Source organism: Homo sapiens, chromosome 4 (genome assembly GCF_000001405.40).
Source record: "Homo sapiens chromosome 4, GRCh38.p14 Primary Assembly".
NCBI lineage: Eukaryota > Metazoa > Chordata > Mammalia > Primates > Hominidae > Homo > Homo sapiens.
In genome coordinates, this window is record NC_000004.12 from 53,355,297 (window position 1) to 53,372,708 (window position 17,412).

The following is a 17,412-nucleotide window of genomic DNA, read 5'->3' on the forward strand; positions in this document are numbered from 1 at the left end:
GGATCATGCAGGGGGAACCTTTCACTTACTCTACTTCATTTTTTTCTCTAGCTATTCTAGAAGATAGACATGTTAACTTATTTTACCCTCTCAGTTACTCTCTGAGGTCCTTATTTTACAGATCAGGAAACTGAGAGGCAGAAGTTAGGCAACTTGCCCAAGGACTTTTGACTAGGAAAGGGCAGAGCTAAGATTACTATAACTAAGCTCTCGTAATCTCTTTAGTAACAGTAGCTACCATATATTGAGGATCTACCTCAATCCTCATACTCTTTACATAAATGATCCTATATAACATAAATTTGATCATATCACATCACAGCTCAAAACTCTCCAACTGATTCCCATTATACTTTGGCTATTATTCTAAATCCTTATTTTAACCTACAAAGCATTCCCTCAACCTACCCCTCCAACTGATCTCCTATCGGTGTTCCCTCTTGCTCACAACACTTTAGCCAAACTGGGCTCCTAGTGGTCCTCAAGCATGACACACATGCTCCCACCTTAGGCCCATTGCACTTGCCATTCCCTGGATCTTATATGTTCTATCATTAGGTAGCCACATGGTATGCTTCCTCCCTTCTTTCGGCCTCTGTTCAAATGTCGCATCCTCTCAAAACTTACTGTCTTAAAACCACATGTATTAATCTCAACTGTTTCTATGCATCCAAGAATTCAGAGTGGCTTAACTGGGTCTGACTCAGAGACTCTCATAAAATTGCAGTCAATATGTCAGCTGGGGCTGCAGTCATCTGAATGCTTGACTGGGCTGGAGGATCTATTTCTCAGATGGCTCACTCACAAAGCTATTGACAGGAGGCCTCAGTTCCTCATTGGCTGTTGAAAGGAATCCCATTTCCTCACTACATGGGCCTCCCATAGGGCTGCTTGAGTCTCTTCATGACATGGTAGCTAACTTCCCTCAGAGCCAGTGATCCAAAAGAACAAAGCAAAGAAAAAGATGCAATACCTTTTAGGACCTGGTCTTGAAAATTACACTTCTGCATTTCTGCCCTATGCTATTTTAGGGAGAAGGGGATAAGTGAGTCACTAAACCTAGCCCACACTCAAGGGCAGGGGAATTTAAACTGTATTTCTTGAAGGAAGAGGTATCAAAGAATTTGTAGACATATATAGAGAGAGAGAGACAAGGTCTTGCTCTGTTGCCCAGGCAGGAGTGCAGTGGCTCAATCATGGCTCACTGCAGCCTAGATTTCCCAGACTCAGGTGATCCTCCCACCTCAGCCTCCTGAAGAGCTGGCACTACAGCATGCAACACCATGCCCAGCTAATTTTTTGTATTTTTTGTAGAGATGGGGTTTCACCATATTGCCAAGGCTGGTCTCGAACTTCTGGGCTCAAGTGATCCACCACTTTGGCCTCCCAAAGTGCTGGGGTTGCAGGTGTGAGTCACCACACCCAACTTGTAGACTTTTTTTTTTTTTTTTTTTTGTTGAGACATAGTCTTGCTCTGTCACCCAGCCTGGAGTGCAGTGGCGCGATCTCGGCTCACTGCAAGCTCCACCTCCTCGGTTCACGCCATTCTCCTGCCTCAGCCTCCGGAGTAGCTGGGACTACAGGCGCCTGCCACCACGCCCGGATAATTTTTTGTATTTTTTAGTAGAGACAGGGTTGTAGACATATTTTTAAACCACCACACCTACCTTCATTAATATTAATAGCCCATATTATTATACTGATATTAGTAATTTGTTTACTGTCTTCATTCCCAAACAAAATTTAAACTTCCTAACTGGAAGGATTTGGATATTTTTAGCACTATTTCCCCTATTCCTTGAGTAATAGATAATATGTATTTTTGAATGAAGGAATTATTTCAAGCCAGGCTCGGTGGCTGATGCCTGTAATCTCAGCACTTTGGGAGGCTGAGGTGGGAGGGTCACTTGAGGTCAGGAGTTTAAGACCAGTCTGGCCAACATGGTAAAGCCCCATCTCTACTAAAAAATATATATATATAAATTAGCCAGGTATAGAGGTATGTGCCTATAATCCCAGCCACTCAGGAGGCTGAGGCACAAGAATCGCTTGAATCCAAGAGGCGGAGGTTTCAGTGAGCTGAGATTGAGCCACTGCATACCAGCCTGGGCAATAGTGCAAGACTCTGTCTCAAAAAAAAAAAGGAATTATTTCATATTCTTCCCACAGGTTAGAATACAAAAACAGGTGGATATTTTTCCCTCTTTACAAATGAGAAAACCTCAACAGCTCAATGAGGGTCAAATAGCACAAAAAAAGTCACTAAGCCAGGATGTGAGGTTATCCTGGCATGGATCTAACACCAAAAATCTAGTCAGCCTTTATATGGCTTCCCAACTGTGTCTCATACCTATTTATTTTAAATAGTATCTTCTGAACCCTGAAATAAAGATATAAGTTAGTTAGTTTGCATGTTTTGGAAAAGCAGATCGGGGAGAAAAAAAATCAGACACTTTTCTGAGCACTAAAGCAGCACTGGAGTCCAAATGTTTAGTCTCTGAAGCTGCTAACTTCCGGACACACCATATAATGATCATCTCTACTGTGCAGGACAACAGTTCTCAAACTTTTCCCACACCCACATATGAGAGTAGTCACTGGAGCAAACTGCCAAGGTTCAAATCCTAGCTCTGCCACTTAACACATGTGTAATCTGAGGCAAGTTATTTAACTCCTCTGTGCTTCAGTTTCATCCGTAAAATTGGGATAATTATAATACTTATCTCAAAAATTATTGTGAAAATTAAAGGAATTTACATATGCAGAGTGCTGAGATAAACAGTTCATTTTCAAATGTTAGCCATTACTAGTGGACTCAAATTTCAATACTTTGACAAGTAATATAAAATCACACCTTAAAGCAAATATAAACACTTCAGTGTATCATAATCCCAGGATTAAGAACCATCCACTGGAATGAGAGTTAATCTTTAATCAAAAGGATTTTAATTTAAAAGTTTGCATGAAGCTGCCTGTAATGCCAAAACTTTGGAAGGCTGAGGTGGGCAGATCACTTGAGGTCAGGAGATCAAGACCAGCCTGGCCAACATGGTGAAACTCTATCTCTACTAAAAAACAAAACAAAACAAAAAAATACAAAAATTAGCTGGGCGTGGTGGTGGCTTTCCTGCCTGTAATTCCAGCTACTTGGGAGGCTGAGGCACAAGAATCATTTGAACCTGGAAGGTGAAGGTTGCAGTGAGCCGAGATGGTGCCATTGCACTCCAGCCTGGGCAACACAGTGAGACGCTGTCTCAGGGAAAAAAAAAAAAAAAAAAGTTTACATGAAGCTAAAATTCAGAATTGAACTAAGAGAGTAAATTTAATTCCCATCGTTACCACCATCTCCTACCTTTTAATTTTGAACTTGAAAACTATTAGCAAAACACTCTAGCCAATCTCAAGAGCCAGAACATGAAAGGAAACCAAACTCAAATATTTTAGGAATTCATGAATCAAGTCTCTTTTTTAATTGTCCCTGGAAACAAATCAGAAGCCAGAATGGCCCACAGAATGCTGACTTAAATCCTCTATGCAAACATGCCTGACCCATAGGTGTCCAAACTCTGGGTAGTCTGGACATGGTCAAAGTAAGCCAGAATGAAAGAGATGGGCATCAGTGGCCATTTACTTCTCAAACAATTACAACTTTTTATATTTAAGCCCTGAGTGCTTATCAACTGGATAACCAGGAGAGAAAGGAACTTGTCTATCTTGTTTACCACTGTTTCGCTATTACCTGGAACAGTGCTTAGCACAAAATAGGCACTCAATAAATATTTGTTAAAAAAAAAAGTACATTTAGACAAAGAAATACTACTTTCAGCAAAGATGATAACCAAAAGATGAGAAAGAAACTTGTCTACATTGTAAACATGATGTTAACAATGTCAAGTACTTCTGAATTATTTGAGGTTATTTTTGATACTGCCAATTTCACATCTAAGAAGAAATATAAATATATAAATTTTCTAATAGTAAATTAACAAGGCTAGCATCCAAAATATTTAGCATCTAATAACATAAATTAATATATAAATTAACGTCTAAATCAAAGACTGAAAAATGTATTTCCTTTTGGTCTCTATATTAAAATGGCTGTCAAGTCTCTTAAATTGAAATTCAAATCATTTAAGTCATTCTAACAATTTTCAAATCACCTCTCAGGCCTGTAATCCCAGCACTTTGGGATGCCAAGTCAGGAGGATTGCTTGAAGTCAGGTATTTGAGACCAGCCTGCGAACAAAGTGAAATCCCTGTCTTTACAAAAAATAAAACGTAAAACCCTTCTGATTTTTAGAAGTTGTTGGTACAATCTTTTTTTTGCTTCAGCTGTCACTGGCTAAACAATGCCTCAATCTAAGCCACAATTTGATGTAAGAAACCTCACCAAACTCTTGTAACAACTACTCCATTAAGCTGATAGTCATGAGCTTCCCAGCTCCCTAAGCTTGCTGCATCCAGAAGGGCAAATCCATTAAAAATGTGAGCATCATGACCATGTATTCTCCAGAATGCCAGGGCCAGGAGCACCCTTGCCAACAATAATGCCACTAACATCATCTACCCTACTACCTCATTCAATGTGGGGCCACTCTGAAACAGTGGGCAAGTGCTGCCTTTTCTCATTCACTATTACCATGGAGCCACCATGACCTCCACTGCCTCAGTTCCCTCAGTGCCCCTAGGGGGCCAGCTGCATCCACACTAGCATGCTTCTAGGCTCTATCTATTGCCTCCACTGGACAACAGTATTTGGTGACTTGTGGTCTTAATAAGTAGAGGGGTTATTTTTACTCACTAATACAGAAGTACTTCAACATTTAAACAAAAGGTTTGACAATACAGCTATGTACCCACTGAAAATCAATCCTGTATATCACTAATATGGGATGTAACACTATGTGGAAACATCTTTGAACCAAATGAGATTTTAAGCTGATCATCTGGAAGATAATCTGGATGATTATCCAAAAGGTATCTATTAAAAAGACATCAATTTATCAGTTATTAGGATCACAGTAACAAACTAGCCCTGATTAAAATCTATCTTCCAAAGTCTACCCTCCACCATCTAGCAGTAATTTTAATCCTTCTAAAAGTGAGCAGGTGATAATTTTTAAATGGGATGTAGATCATGGACACTTCTTGAGTATCCTGTGCTCAAAGCTGATTGGTTTCAGAGAGGACCACAAATCAAAACTTGGTTCCATAAACCAGTAGATAGGCAAATACACTGGGCCCTGGCCATTCTGGCTTTATCACCCTACCAGGCCATTGCTGCTGTCACCTACCACCACTAAGCAGGTGACCTCACCCTTCTCAGGAGATCTCACCCCACTTGGGATCCAACACCCAGGGCCCAGCCAAGGTCTTCCTCCCTGCCAGACACCTACCTCACTGAGCCCTACCTAAATGTTTTTGAATTTAATTATTCAACTAGGTAAGAAGGAAGCGGAGTCTTTATAATTTTTAATGTATTTGAGGAATACCTCAAGTAACTTTTGGGGGTTCAATCTCATTGCTTTATCATCATATCTTGTGTTAGAATGCCCATAGCATCCCATTGAGACTAATATTTTCATGGTTCCTCTCAGGCTCTTGACAGGGTAGCTGAATTTTTCTTACTCTTTTTACATGTTGCCTTGAATCTACCCAGAGAAATCTTCTATTTTTTCCCTTTGAGCAATGCCCCTTTCAACATTAAATATTGTTTCACTGATCTCATGTACCTAAAATGCCCTCTCCCACACAAACCTGCTACTGAGTACCTTCGCTAACTTAACCATTCATTCACCCTGGAAGACCACCTACTAGCAGAAGGATTCTTAACAAATGTAAAGAAAGTAAGGACTTTACACTAACAATACAAAACTAACTCTCTCTTTGACAATTCAAAAAACAAAAGATGTTGAACTTTGACATTTACAGAATTAAATGTCAAATGTGACACAATACCATCACATCTGGCTAACTAACTCTTATGCTTTTTTTAGTAAGGAACAACTTTTGAGCCTCAATATCTTAATTCTTAAAATGATAAAGAACACTTAACTCAATTTGTTGAGATCAAATAAGGTAATGTAAAAGTGGGATTTTTATTTTTACTTATTTATTCGAGACAAGGTCTCGCTCTGTCACCCAGACTGGAGTGCAATGGCACGATCACAGCTTACTGCAGCTTCAAACTCCCAGGTTCAAGCAATCTGCACACCTCAGCCTCACAAGTAACTGAGACCACAGGCATGAGCCACTATACCTGGCTAATTTTTGTATTTTTTATAGAGACAGGGTCTTACTCTGTTGCCCAGGCTGTTCTTGAATTCCTAGGCTCCAGTGATTCACCAGCCTCAGCCTGGAATTACAGGCATGAGCCACCACACCCGGTAAGAAGTGGTTTTTATCTATAAAATACTCATATAAATATGACTAGCTAATATCATTATTTTCTTTCTTAAGTTTTCCTGTGAGCCCAAGCTGCCAAATCTTAGACTATTCAGTGTGCATCGTTTTTTCTGCATTTGTGTATTACTAATGATATGATTCAAGAATCTCGGAAACATTTTCAATTAGAAAAAATAAGTGTGTTAATTTCAATTAATGTCTGGTATCTACGACCTTTAATCCACTCATTTATCCATTCATTCAATAAATATATATTGAATACCTACTGTTTTGAAGGTACTCTTGCTGGTTAATAAACAGTAAACAAAACAGAGTCCCTCCCTTCAAGAACTTCCATTCAAGTGGGAGGAGACAGGTAATAAATGATCAATTAGTAGTGTCAGGGAATAGTAAAGGCTATGACAAATAAAGCCAGGTAAGGGTAAGAGAGTGTCAAAGAAGTTCACCCAGGAAGGCCTCTCTGAGGAGCAGGAATGATGTGAGGGAGAAAGCCATATGGATACCTCGAAGAAGAACATCCCAAGCAGAGCTGCAGAGGAAATGCAAAGGCCCTGAGGCTGGAACATGCTTAGCATGTCTGACAATGGCAAGGTAGCCAATGTTGTAAGAGGGGAGATCAGGTATGGCCTTGAAAACAACAGTGAGGAACTTGACAGGAGGTATGATCAGAGGCCACTTGAATACTGAGCAAGTAAATGATATGTCATAGTTATGCTTTGAGGGATTATATAAGAAGCTGGCCTAAGTGGTTGCTTGTCTGTATAGGTTTCATACTTCTTTAATTGTTTTTTAACTATTTGCATGCTTTCCTGTGTCAAATGCTGCTTTGAAGTTCAGTAGAATTAGTGTGGTAATAAAACAAAGGAAGTTTCTGGGAAGTATTGGAAAATAAAACTCTAACTGGAGTCAAGAGAAAATTGGAGCAGATGTTTGTGGAGACAACAAGTATAGACAACTCTTTCAAGTTTGCTATAAAATAAAGCAAAAAAAAAAATGGAATTGAAGTTGGAAGAGCATGAGAGGTCAAGACAGAAGATGTTCCCTGGGTGAAAATACAGAGAAAAGGAAAAAATGATGATCTAAGAAAGGGAGAGGGTATTTGAAAAACAGTAAATCTATGAGAGAAGTGAAAAGAGAGGCTTTAGTCTACATAGGTGAAAAAGTTGGCGTTAGTGGCAGGGACAGTATATTTCTTTTCAATATGAAGGAAGGAAAAAGACATGGGTACAGATGTAGGAAGGGTGGTAGATTTGGTGATGGGAAAATACAGATTTGTTTAGTGGCTTATATTTTCTCAGTGATATTAGAAGCGAGAAAAGTGAGTATGGGGAAGGAGATCTGGACACTTGATAAGGGAGAATCTATAAAATGATTGCTGCCAAATGGCAACTTTGTCTTTCTATGTGTCTTTATTTTGCAAATCATTCTTTTTTTCTTTTTTTTTTCTTTTTTGAGACAGAATCTGACTCTGTCACCCAGGTTGGAGTGCAGGGATGTGATGGTGGTTCACTGCAACCTCTGCCTTCTGGGCTCAAGTTATCCTCCACCTTAGCCTCCTGAGTGGCTGGGACTACAGGTCACCACACCTGGCTAGTTTTTTCATTTTTTATTTAATTTTTAAATTTTCTGTAGAGATTGAGTTTTGCTGTGTTGCCCAGGTTGATCTCAAACTCCTGAGCTCAAGCAGTCTGCCCCCCTCAGCCTCCCAAAGTGATGGGATTACAGGCATGAGCCACTGTGCCGGGCTCTAAATCATACTTGACTACGTTATATTGATACTTGACTACATTATATTGTAAACTTTTAGAGGGCAGAAGTTATGCTCACCTTATTTATTCTGTATGTTTAAAAAAAGGGCGCGGTGGCTCACGCCTGTAATCCCAGCACTTTGGGAGGCCGAGGCGGGTGGATCACGCGAGGTCAGGAGATCGAGACCACGGTGAAACCCCGTCTCTACTAAAAATACGAAAAGTTAGCCCGGCGTAGTGGCGGGCGCCTGTAGTCCCAGCTACTCGGGAGGTTGAGGCAGGAGAATGGCGTGAACCCGGGAGGCGGAGCTTGCAGTGAGCCTCGCGAGATTGCGCCATTGCACTCCAGCCTGGGCGACAGAGAGAGACTCCGTCTCAAAAAAAAAAAAAAAAAAGCATTACCTACTGAAGATGTAAAGAGCTGTTACTATGATGCTGGACAGTGGGATATTAAGTTTTGCCTAACAGAAGTCTTAGGGGAGGGTACAAAATTATGTGAACTTCCCAGTTGATTATGAAACAACTTTGCTACATTTTTGGCATAAAGAGATAGAAGTAACAGTAATATATAGCATCCACAAAAAAACTCAACAAGCATCTACTTATCAGGTTTTATCTTTTAATCCCCTATGGACTCTGTGATGCTACAGTTATTACTTATATATTTAAATCACAGACTGGACACCTGGTTTTTCCAGTCACATAATTAAGTTTACATCTCAGTATTACCATTTAGCCTACTTTCCATTTTTTATCTGAAAATTAATCTTATTAAGATTAAAAACTCAAATATACCTATTTCGTTTTTTATAACTTAATTCAACTTTTTTTCTGACCGATTAAAGGGAATGCCTACCAATGTCAGTTTTCCGATTATTCTCCCTGGACTTGGAAGTGGCTAGGCTATATTACTAACAGTATTATACAACCTAATTAGAGAACAATAAAGTTGACCTTTGAAAATAACATATCAAACATCAGAAAGTGTCTTTTCTTCATCTGCTTTAAGGATTACATTTGTTTCTTTTGTGTAAATAATACATTATTACAATTTGAGATTATTTACTTAATCTTTAATACAATGAGAGCTAAAAATAAATCAATAAACATTTGAAAATATTTTCTACAATTCTATTTCATCTCATTTACTAGTAACATTTAAGTTCAGCCTCACTTTTGAACACTCATTTCCTAAACCTCAATTGTCTGTAATAATTTTATGTTTTCTTGTGCAGTAGTTTTCCTTCCGCTGGGTCATCTATTAACACTTCTCCAACAAACCAGAGTCTTCTTATGAAGGACTGTTGTGAATACTGGCATTCGTAAATTTCTAAAAATAAAATTTCCCAGGTGCACAGTTTTCCTCCCTGTCAGCATAATCTTGGGCTAAAGTTGTTGTTTAACAAGGCAATGGGCATTTATGACATTTCTACCCATTACAGCATTTAACAAATGTTATTGTAATTGCTAATTCACCTGTCTGTATTCCACTTTAGACAATAAACTCTGTGAGATTAGAGACCGTGTCCATCTAGTTCATCTTTGTATCCTCAATCTAATATATAATAAAAGGTCAATAAAATATATGCTGAATCAATGAAAGTCCCAGCAATGTGGGGAATGGTAATGAAGAACTCCAGAGCAATGCACTTACCTGTGAGATCCAGGGTTCTGTCCACAAAAACCACTGATGCCCTGCCTGCAGCAGTCTTCTTCCTGTTCTTTGCAGGGGCATAATTGGCCAGATCCGCAGCGATGACCTGACTTAAGGAACCTACAGCAAAACACTCCTCCCGTACTCCTAAATGTTCACACAGAGAACTGAGGCCTGACACTAGGCATCTGATCTGCAGCAGCAGCTCTGGGGTTAGCGTAGTGGAGTCCACATCACCCAGGCTTCCCAGCTTCCTCTTGTCCGGTCGGGCGCTATTAAGGAGGTGCACATCCTGGGGTAGCAGTGGGAAAAGGGATGCAAAAGCTGGAGTCAAGGCAAAGTGGGGAGCAACAGGGGCAAGCAATAACGGGACATGGAACACCTCGGCCGTGTAGTTCATGTTGCCCATCCATTCACACAGCTTCTCCTCCAGCTGCTCGAACACCGGCTGCTGCCCCTCCATCTCGGCCGCTGCCGCCGCTGGGACATGATTAGCTGTGAGGTGGACAGCGTGGCTCACGGTTGTGACCACCACACAATACTGGAAGTGACTGCGGCAGATGATGTCCCGTAGGATCTCCACGGTCCGGCCTTTCAGCAGGCAGCTCAGCACAAACACTGCCTTGGGCTGCTTGGCTCCACCACCAATTGCGTCGGGCTCGAACTCTCGCAGGTGACAGTCAGGACCCCCCACCGCCTCCAGGAGACGGGTGGATCCGCAGCCCCAGTGCAGGCTCTCGGCGCAGGCGGCGTCCAGGTAAACCACAGCCCGTTTCACTTTGGCCAGCACCTGCTCCCATCCTTGCTGGGTAAAGGACAGTACGCCCGAGGCGCTCATGGTTGGGGATTCGCAGACTTGGGAAACTACGGTGCAGGAACTTCTTTCAGAACTCACCGCTTCCGGAAATTGGGCTCCGGGAGACTTTGACAGTCTCCACAGTACACGTGGTCGGCCTCTGACACGCTCCCTGATGGCGCTCGGTGATGACGTTAAACTGAGCGGTGATTGGCTAGAGAGGAGGCCGGGAGTGAGGAAGGATGGCGCGGTCGGGAAAGAAGTGGGTGGGGCTCTGTGGCTCCGGGCTTCCTCAAAAGCTCGTGGAGATCAGGTGTTTCCTGAGATGGAGCTGAACTGAGTTCTTTCCGTCGCTCGGCCTGTCTGCGCAGATAATCTTCTCAGATAATCTTCTCATGTTCCTTGAAAAGTCTCCGAAATAAAAACCTAATCCGAAATTTGGTATCTTCCTTAGATATGAACACGTCTCCAAAAGTACAGCCACCTTCTCAATCTAAACTCAGAGCAACTAGAAAAAGATAATAAAAACAACCGTGTGCAATATTTTGGGTTTATAGATTGCTGTCACATACGTTATCGCCCACAAGCCTCATAACAAACCCTGTTGTTCTCATTTTCACTTTCTCCATCTTTCCTCCCTCATCTCATCGTCACTACATCTTATAGGCTTAAAAACTCTCAGAATTCAGCCCTTCCTCTCCATTTTTGCTGTCACAAAAACCCAACATCATCGCTCACCCAGGCAATGATCTCCCAACATTTTCTGACTTTTGATCTCTTTACCCTCCAATTCTATTTTCTTCCTAATAAACAAAGTTGGTCCTACAACTTTCCTGCTTAAAAGCTTCTCCTAGCCCAGTTGCCTATAGGATACATCCACACTCTTTAAAAAGCATCAACATCCTTCTTGATTTCTCAATTTCTCTCCAGCTATTCCCAACATGGAGAAAAATTGTACCGATACAATGAAGTCAATAGGCTGAACCCAAAATGTTTTATGGGTTCTGTTTGTTCCACCAATATACTTACATTACTAAGTATAATCTCTGTGCTAAGCTTCAAAGATGCAATGGTTAATAAAATTCATTACCTAATCCACAAAGAATTTACCTGGTAAACTTACCGAAAATAATCATTCCAACAGTACTGCCTGTGAGAGACTTTTTCTAACTCACCACCACTATCACCCTATCACCTCTCACTTCCCCCACCTATCAAACCACTCAATTGATACATTCGCTAAGTACTTGCCATATCATGGGGTAAGTATTAACACTATTTTCTTTAAACTATCTGTTTTGCTAAATTATGCACTAGATGCTTGGTATCCCCAACACTTATAACAGGTGTTCAATAAATGTTCGTTGAATGAATGTTCAATTAATATCCATGGCCAGGCGCGGTGGCTCATGCCTGTAATCCCAACACTTTGGGAGGCCGAGGTGGGCAGATCACCTGAGGTCAGGGGCTCAAGACCAGCTTGGCCAACATGGTGAAGCTCCGTCTCTACTAAAAGTACAAAAAATAGCTGGACATGGTGGCAGGTACCTGTAATCCCAGCTACTCGGGAGGTTGAGGCAGGAGAATCACTTGAACCCAGGAGGGAGAGGTTGCAGTGAGCCAAGATGGCACCACTGCACTCCAGCCTGGGCGACAGAGCGAGACTCTGTCTCAAAAAAAAAAAAAATTCCACATAATAATATATCCAGCCAATTTTTAATAAATACGTACAGTATTCCAAACACTGTCTGGGTTTTAAGGATATAAAGAAAACTAAACCACAGCCCTGATTTCAAAATAATTATGATGAAATAAAGGGACCCACACATGTAAAACAAGTGCAATAAAATGTTACAGAAGCAAATACTTTTTAAAATTTTTTGTATAGGAGTCAAGAAGGAGGAAAAATAAATTCTAAGAGAAAAAGGAAGAAGTCAGAAAAAGCTTCATATAGGGCATGAGTTTTGACTTGCCTTCAAAGAAACCCAGGTGTTCACCAGGTGGACAGGATGGGGAGGAGGATTCTTAGCAGTCCAGGCACAGAGTGCAGCATAAACAAAGTCGTAGAGGCATAAAACAGTACAATATGTTCTCTGGAACTACAAAGGGTTTCCTATAGCTGGAGTGCATTGTATGAAAAAAGGCGCAAGAAGAAATAAGAGCAAGGAATTAGAAAAGAAAGAAATGGGCTAGATCAGCAAGAGCCTTATTTTCCATTCTAAGTAGTAGCAGCCAGTGGGGAAGTATTAATGTATTTTGGGGTATGGAAATAATTTGTTCACATCTGGATTTTAGAAAAAAAATGGTTCTAGTCAAAACATGGAAAATAATTTGAAATGGAGCAATTTAGCGCAGAGGGAGCAGTTAAGAAAATAATAGTATCAGCAGCAAATCTGGGTGAGAGAGTTGAAAAGCGTAACAAGCAGATGGACAGAGTGGGGAGTATGAATAGACGTTAAGAATATAGTGCCAAAGGGCTTGCTTATTAGTTTGACAGAGAGGGTGACACGGAAGGAGAATTTCAGGTTAGCACCCAGCTTTCTGTCTGGATGACTGATGAATGCCAGTCATTGAGATTTGAAAAACCATTAAGAGAAGCAGATTGCGGAATAAATACAGAGTTTAGTGGGGACATATTTTTGTTTGTTTGTTTCCTTATGGCAAGATAAGTGTAACATAAAAGTCACACCATCTTAACCATTGTAAAATGTACATTTTGGTGGCATTAAGTACATTCACATTGTTGTATAACCAATCTCTGAACTTCTTGTCTCACAAAACTGAAACCCTGTACCCATTAAACAACAACTCCCCATTCCCCCTCTCCACAGTCCTTGGTGACTTCCACTCTACTTTCTGTTTCTATGAGTTGACTACTCTAGTTGTTGGCAATGTAGTAGTTGACTACTCTAGATACCTCATATAAGTGGAACAATACAGTATTTGTTTTGTTGTGATTGACTTATTTCACTTAGCATAAAGTCCTCCAAGTTAATCTATATTGTAACGTGCATCAGAATTTTCTTTCTTTTTGAGGCTGAATAACATTCCATTGTATGTTACACCATTTTGTTTATCCATTCATCTGCCTATGGACATTTGGTCTGCTTCCACCTTTTAGCTATTGTGAATAATGGCACCTTGAATATGCAGCAGAAGAGTCATAAACCTGGTAGAACCTAGTAGGTAAAAGGGCCAATGACAGACCCAAGTTCAAATGTTGAACTAGTAAACAAGAAGATATTCCTACATGTTTGTATCCTTGTCAGCATGAAAATTATTTTAAGGAGCTTAAGTTGAATAAGTTGTTGGATGACAGCCCTTGCTCTTCCATTTAAACCCAGGTCAGTGCCTAGTTACTAACACCTGCATTAATCTTGATCTCAAGCTCACTTTTTGTTTCTACCCCTTGCATCTCATGCTGAATCATACATTCATTAGGTAAGTTTGAGTGAATTAATACTTCATCTTCTCTGAAAGGGCAAGGCACTCATGAAGTCATGGTTGAATATTGTGCCAGTAAGTGCTAGTGGTCGCCTCAATATTTATTTGTCTCTTCTTCTGTAGTAATAGGTTTATTCTGAACTCATAGACACACAGCTAAAGACTACTTTTCCAAGCCTCTTGCAGCTAGCTATGGACAAATGATGAGGCACGGGTGAATAAGATAGTTGGAAGTGACACATACAGATTTCAAATAATTCCCTAAAGGTGTATGGTTTTCTTTCCCTACAAATCCTACTTTCAGTTCTTTTGTACATGGACCCAGAGTGGAATTGCTGGATCATATGATAATTCTATTTTTAACTTCTTGATGGACCTCTGTTTTTGTTTTGTTTTTTACAGAGGCTGCAACATTTTATATTCCTACTAATAATGCACAGGGGTTCGGATTTCTCCACATCCTTGCCAACACTTGATATTTCCTGGGTTTTTTGATAATGGCCATCCTAATAGGTGTGGGGACATGAGGTTTTCAATATGCTTGTGGGACATCGAGGCAGAAACATCTAGCATGCTGTTGGATGTGTGATTCCAGAATACAGAAGAGAAATATGGTAATTGGGATTATTAGTAAATGGGTGTGCTTCAGAGTGCCTTAAGAGAACACAAAAAAGAAAGAAGACAATGATGGTGATGGAGAGAACTCTGAGCAACTTTTCTTGATGGGCAGAAGAAGTCAAGCCAGTGAATGGAGTAATGAGAGGTGCAAGTTTTAAGACTAGAGTGGCCAACAGTGGCAAGTGTCAGAAAAGGGAAAAGAGAGGGAATATGAGAAGAATCTACAGGATTTGACCTGTGCAGGAAGAAAGTACAGTCATGACAAGGGAGTGCTGGGGGTGCAGTGCAGAATGAGTCAATGGATTGGGGAAAATGCAGCTTCTAGAAATTATCTACACAGTTCCTAGAAAAGAAGGTGGTAGGGGAATGAGGAGGTAAAAAAGTTGGAAGAATATGAAGTTAGGGTCAAAGAAAGTAACTTGGCCTCTACGATTCAGGGAGGGAACGCTTTTTTTTTTTTTTTTTTTTTTTTTTTCAGAGACAGAGTCTCACTCTGTCTCACAGGTTGGAGTGCAGTGGCACAATCATAGCTCACAGCAGACTCAAACTCCTGACTTCAAGCAATCCTCCGGCCGCAGCCTCTTGAGTAGCTAGGACTACAGGTGCACACAACTACACATGGCTAATTTTTTTTTTTTTTTGAGATGGAATCTTGCTCTGTCCCCCAGGCTGGAATGCAGTGGCACAATTTCACTGCTCACTGCAAGCTCCGCCTCCAGGGTTCACACCATTCTCCTTCCTCAGCCTCCTGAGTAGCTGGGACTACAGGCACCTGCCACCACGCCTGGCTAATTTTTTGTATTTTTAGTAGAGACAGGATTTCACTGCGTTAGCCAGGATGGTCTCGATCTCCTGACCTCGTGATCAGCCCACCTCGGCCCCCCAAAGTGCTGGGATTACAGGCGTGAGCCGTTGTGCCCGGCCAGCTAATTTTTTTCTTTCATTTTTTTTTTTACAGAGACAGGGTCTTGCTGTGTTGCCCAAGCTGGCTTGAACTCCTGGGCTCAAACCATATTCTGACCTTGGCTTCCCAAAGCACTGGGATTACAGGTGTGAGCCACTGCGCCCAGCCAAGGAGGGAAAAATTCTAGGATATAATAAGATCCAGGGTATAACCCTGAATGTGCCCTAAGGAAGTAGAGTGAATGAAGACCATTAGACTCCAGAAGGTCAGAAAACATGAGTCAAGCAACATATGCAAGTCACACATCATGATGGAGGAAAGGAAGACTGTGGACTTCAACCGCAGATATCACTTGTAGTTGAAGGAAAATGAAAAAGGAGAAGAGGTGGTAAATACAAATGGTATGAGCTGGAAAAGAGGAAGGTTTTTTCACAGCAAAATGGGAACCGTAATGGCCTGGTAGTGGTCCACAAGAACCGGGGGAATGACAGCACTATCTCAAGCATTCACAGTACAACAGGGTGAAGGATAATGGCAGATATTCAGTATAGAAAGATAAGGAGAAGTCCTGTCCTTGGAGGGAAGTTAGATTTTGGTTTAGTGAACAAGTAGAGACATCCTTCTGCTAAAATACTGAAACTGTTGGGCATGCACATAAAATGGAACAAAGGTAGGGACTGAGAGCTAAATGCAGAGTTGGGGATCAGGTCTGGAAGAACTTGGAGGGAATAAGCACAGAGACTGTCTTAGTTTGGGCTGTCACAACAAAAATACCATAGACTGGGTGACATAAGCAAAGAAAGTTTATTTCTCACTGTTCTGGAGACTGGAAAGTACAAAATCAAGGTGCTCACATAATTCATTTCTAATGGCAGCCCTCTCTCTGGCTCACCAATGGCTGGCCACCTTTGTGCTGTATTCTCAGTTGGTGAAAAGCAGGCAGAGAGGAAGCAAGCTCTCCTGTCTTTTCTTATGAAAGTCCAAACCCCTCTCCATTAGGGAGGACTTAATTACCTCACAAAATCCCCATATCCAAACACCATCACATTGAGGATTAAGGTTTAGGCATATGAACTTTGGAGAAACACAAAAATTTAGACTATAGCAGTGATATGAGGGAAAACATTAAAAGATTTGACAAATGATGACTAAGAATGAGGTGATACAGACACCCCTAAAAGTTGTGCAATGCAGAGCCTGTATAGCCACATGCAACTTGAGGGACTGTCAGACCGTGAAGAAGCTTGTAGGCCATATGGTAGGAAGTTTAGATTTTATTTCATATTTAAGAGAAGGCCACGGAAGGGTTTTGTGTTCCTAGAATTTCAGTGTGGCAGTGCAGATGGAAAGAAGTAGATAGATTTGAGATACGTTTTAATGAGAAGCACTAACAGATCTTGCTAACTGATTTGCATAGTTGTGAGAAGAGCAGATGGGGAAGACAGAAAAGTCAAGGATAATTCTTTGATTTATGGCTAAAACAACTAGTTAAATGGTGGTTACTGATATTAATATGAAGAAGTCTTTGGGAGTATGGGAGTGGGACAAGACAGATATGGGAGAGAAATTTATAAGTTGTGTTTTGAACATAAGTTTTAAAGGCCTAAGAGAGGCATCAGGTGAAGCATTTGAGTCAGACCGAGTATCTTGAGCTCAAAGAGAAGTTAAGACTGCCCAGAGAAATATGGGTGTCAGTGGCTCTCAATGACATGACATTAAAAGTCATGGAGGCCAGGCGTGGGGCTCAGACCTGTAATCTCAGCACTTTGGGAGGCTGAGGTGGGCAGAACACTTGAGGTCAGGAATTCGAGACCAGCCTGGTCAACATGGTGAAACCTCATCT

At 41.0% G+C, this 17,412-nt stretch overlaps 1 protein-coding gene across 8 annotated transcripts in view, besides 3 other annotated features; it reads right to left on the reverse strand.

Annotated features, from left to right (window-relative positions):
• Positions 1-10,765, reverse strand: part of SCFD2 (sec1 family domain containing 2) — a 493,080-nt gene extending 482,315 nt beyond the window's left edge. For all 8 annotated transcript variants that reach the window (NM_152540.4, XM_017007787.3, XM_047449646.1 and 5 more), the window contains exon 1: positions 9,808-10,765. In NM_152540.4, the coding sequence (NP_689753.2) occupies positions 9,808-10,645 (838 nt within the window). In that variant the 5' untranslated portion in view covers positions 10,646-10,765. The remainder of the gene's footprint in view (positions 1-9,807) is intronic.
• Positions 10,191-10,240: an enhancer, noted in NCBI's record as "active region_21560". NCBI's record gives its function as "activates an Ori minimal core promoter by ATAC-STARR-seq in GM12878 lymphoblastoid cells {active_cell/tissue: GM12878}" and the evidence as "EXISTENCE:reporter gene assay evidence [ECO:0000049][PMID:35858748]".
• Positions 10,461-10,660: an enhancer, noted in NCBI's record as "active region_21561". NCBI's record gives its function as "activates an Ori minimal core promoter by ATAC-STARR-seq in GM12878 lymphoblastoid cells {active_cell/tissue: GM12878}" and the evidence as "EXISTENCE:reporter gene assay evidence [ECO:0000049][PMID:35858748]".
• Positions 10,681-10,730: an enhancer, noted in NCBI's record as "active region_21562". NCBI's record gives its function as "activates an Ori minimal core promoter by ATAC-STARR-seq in GM12878 lymphoblastoid cells {active_cell/tissue: GM12878}" and the evidence as "EXISTENCE:reporter gene assay evidence [ECO:0000049][PMID:35858748]".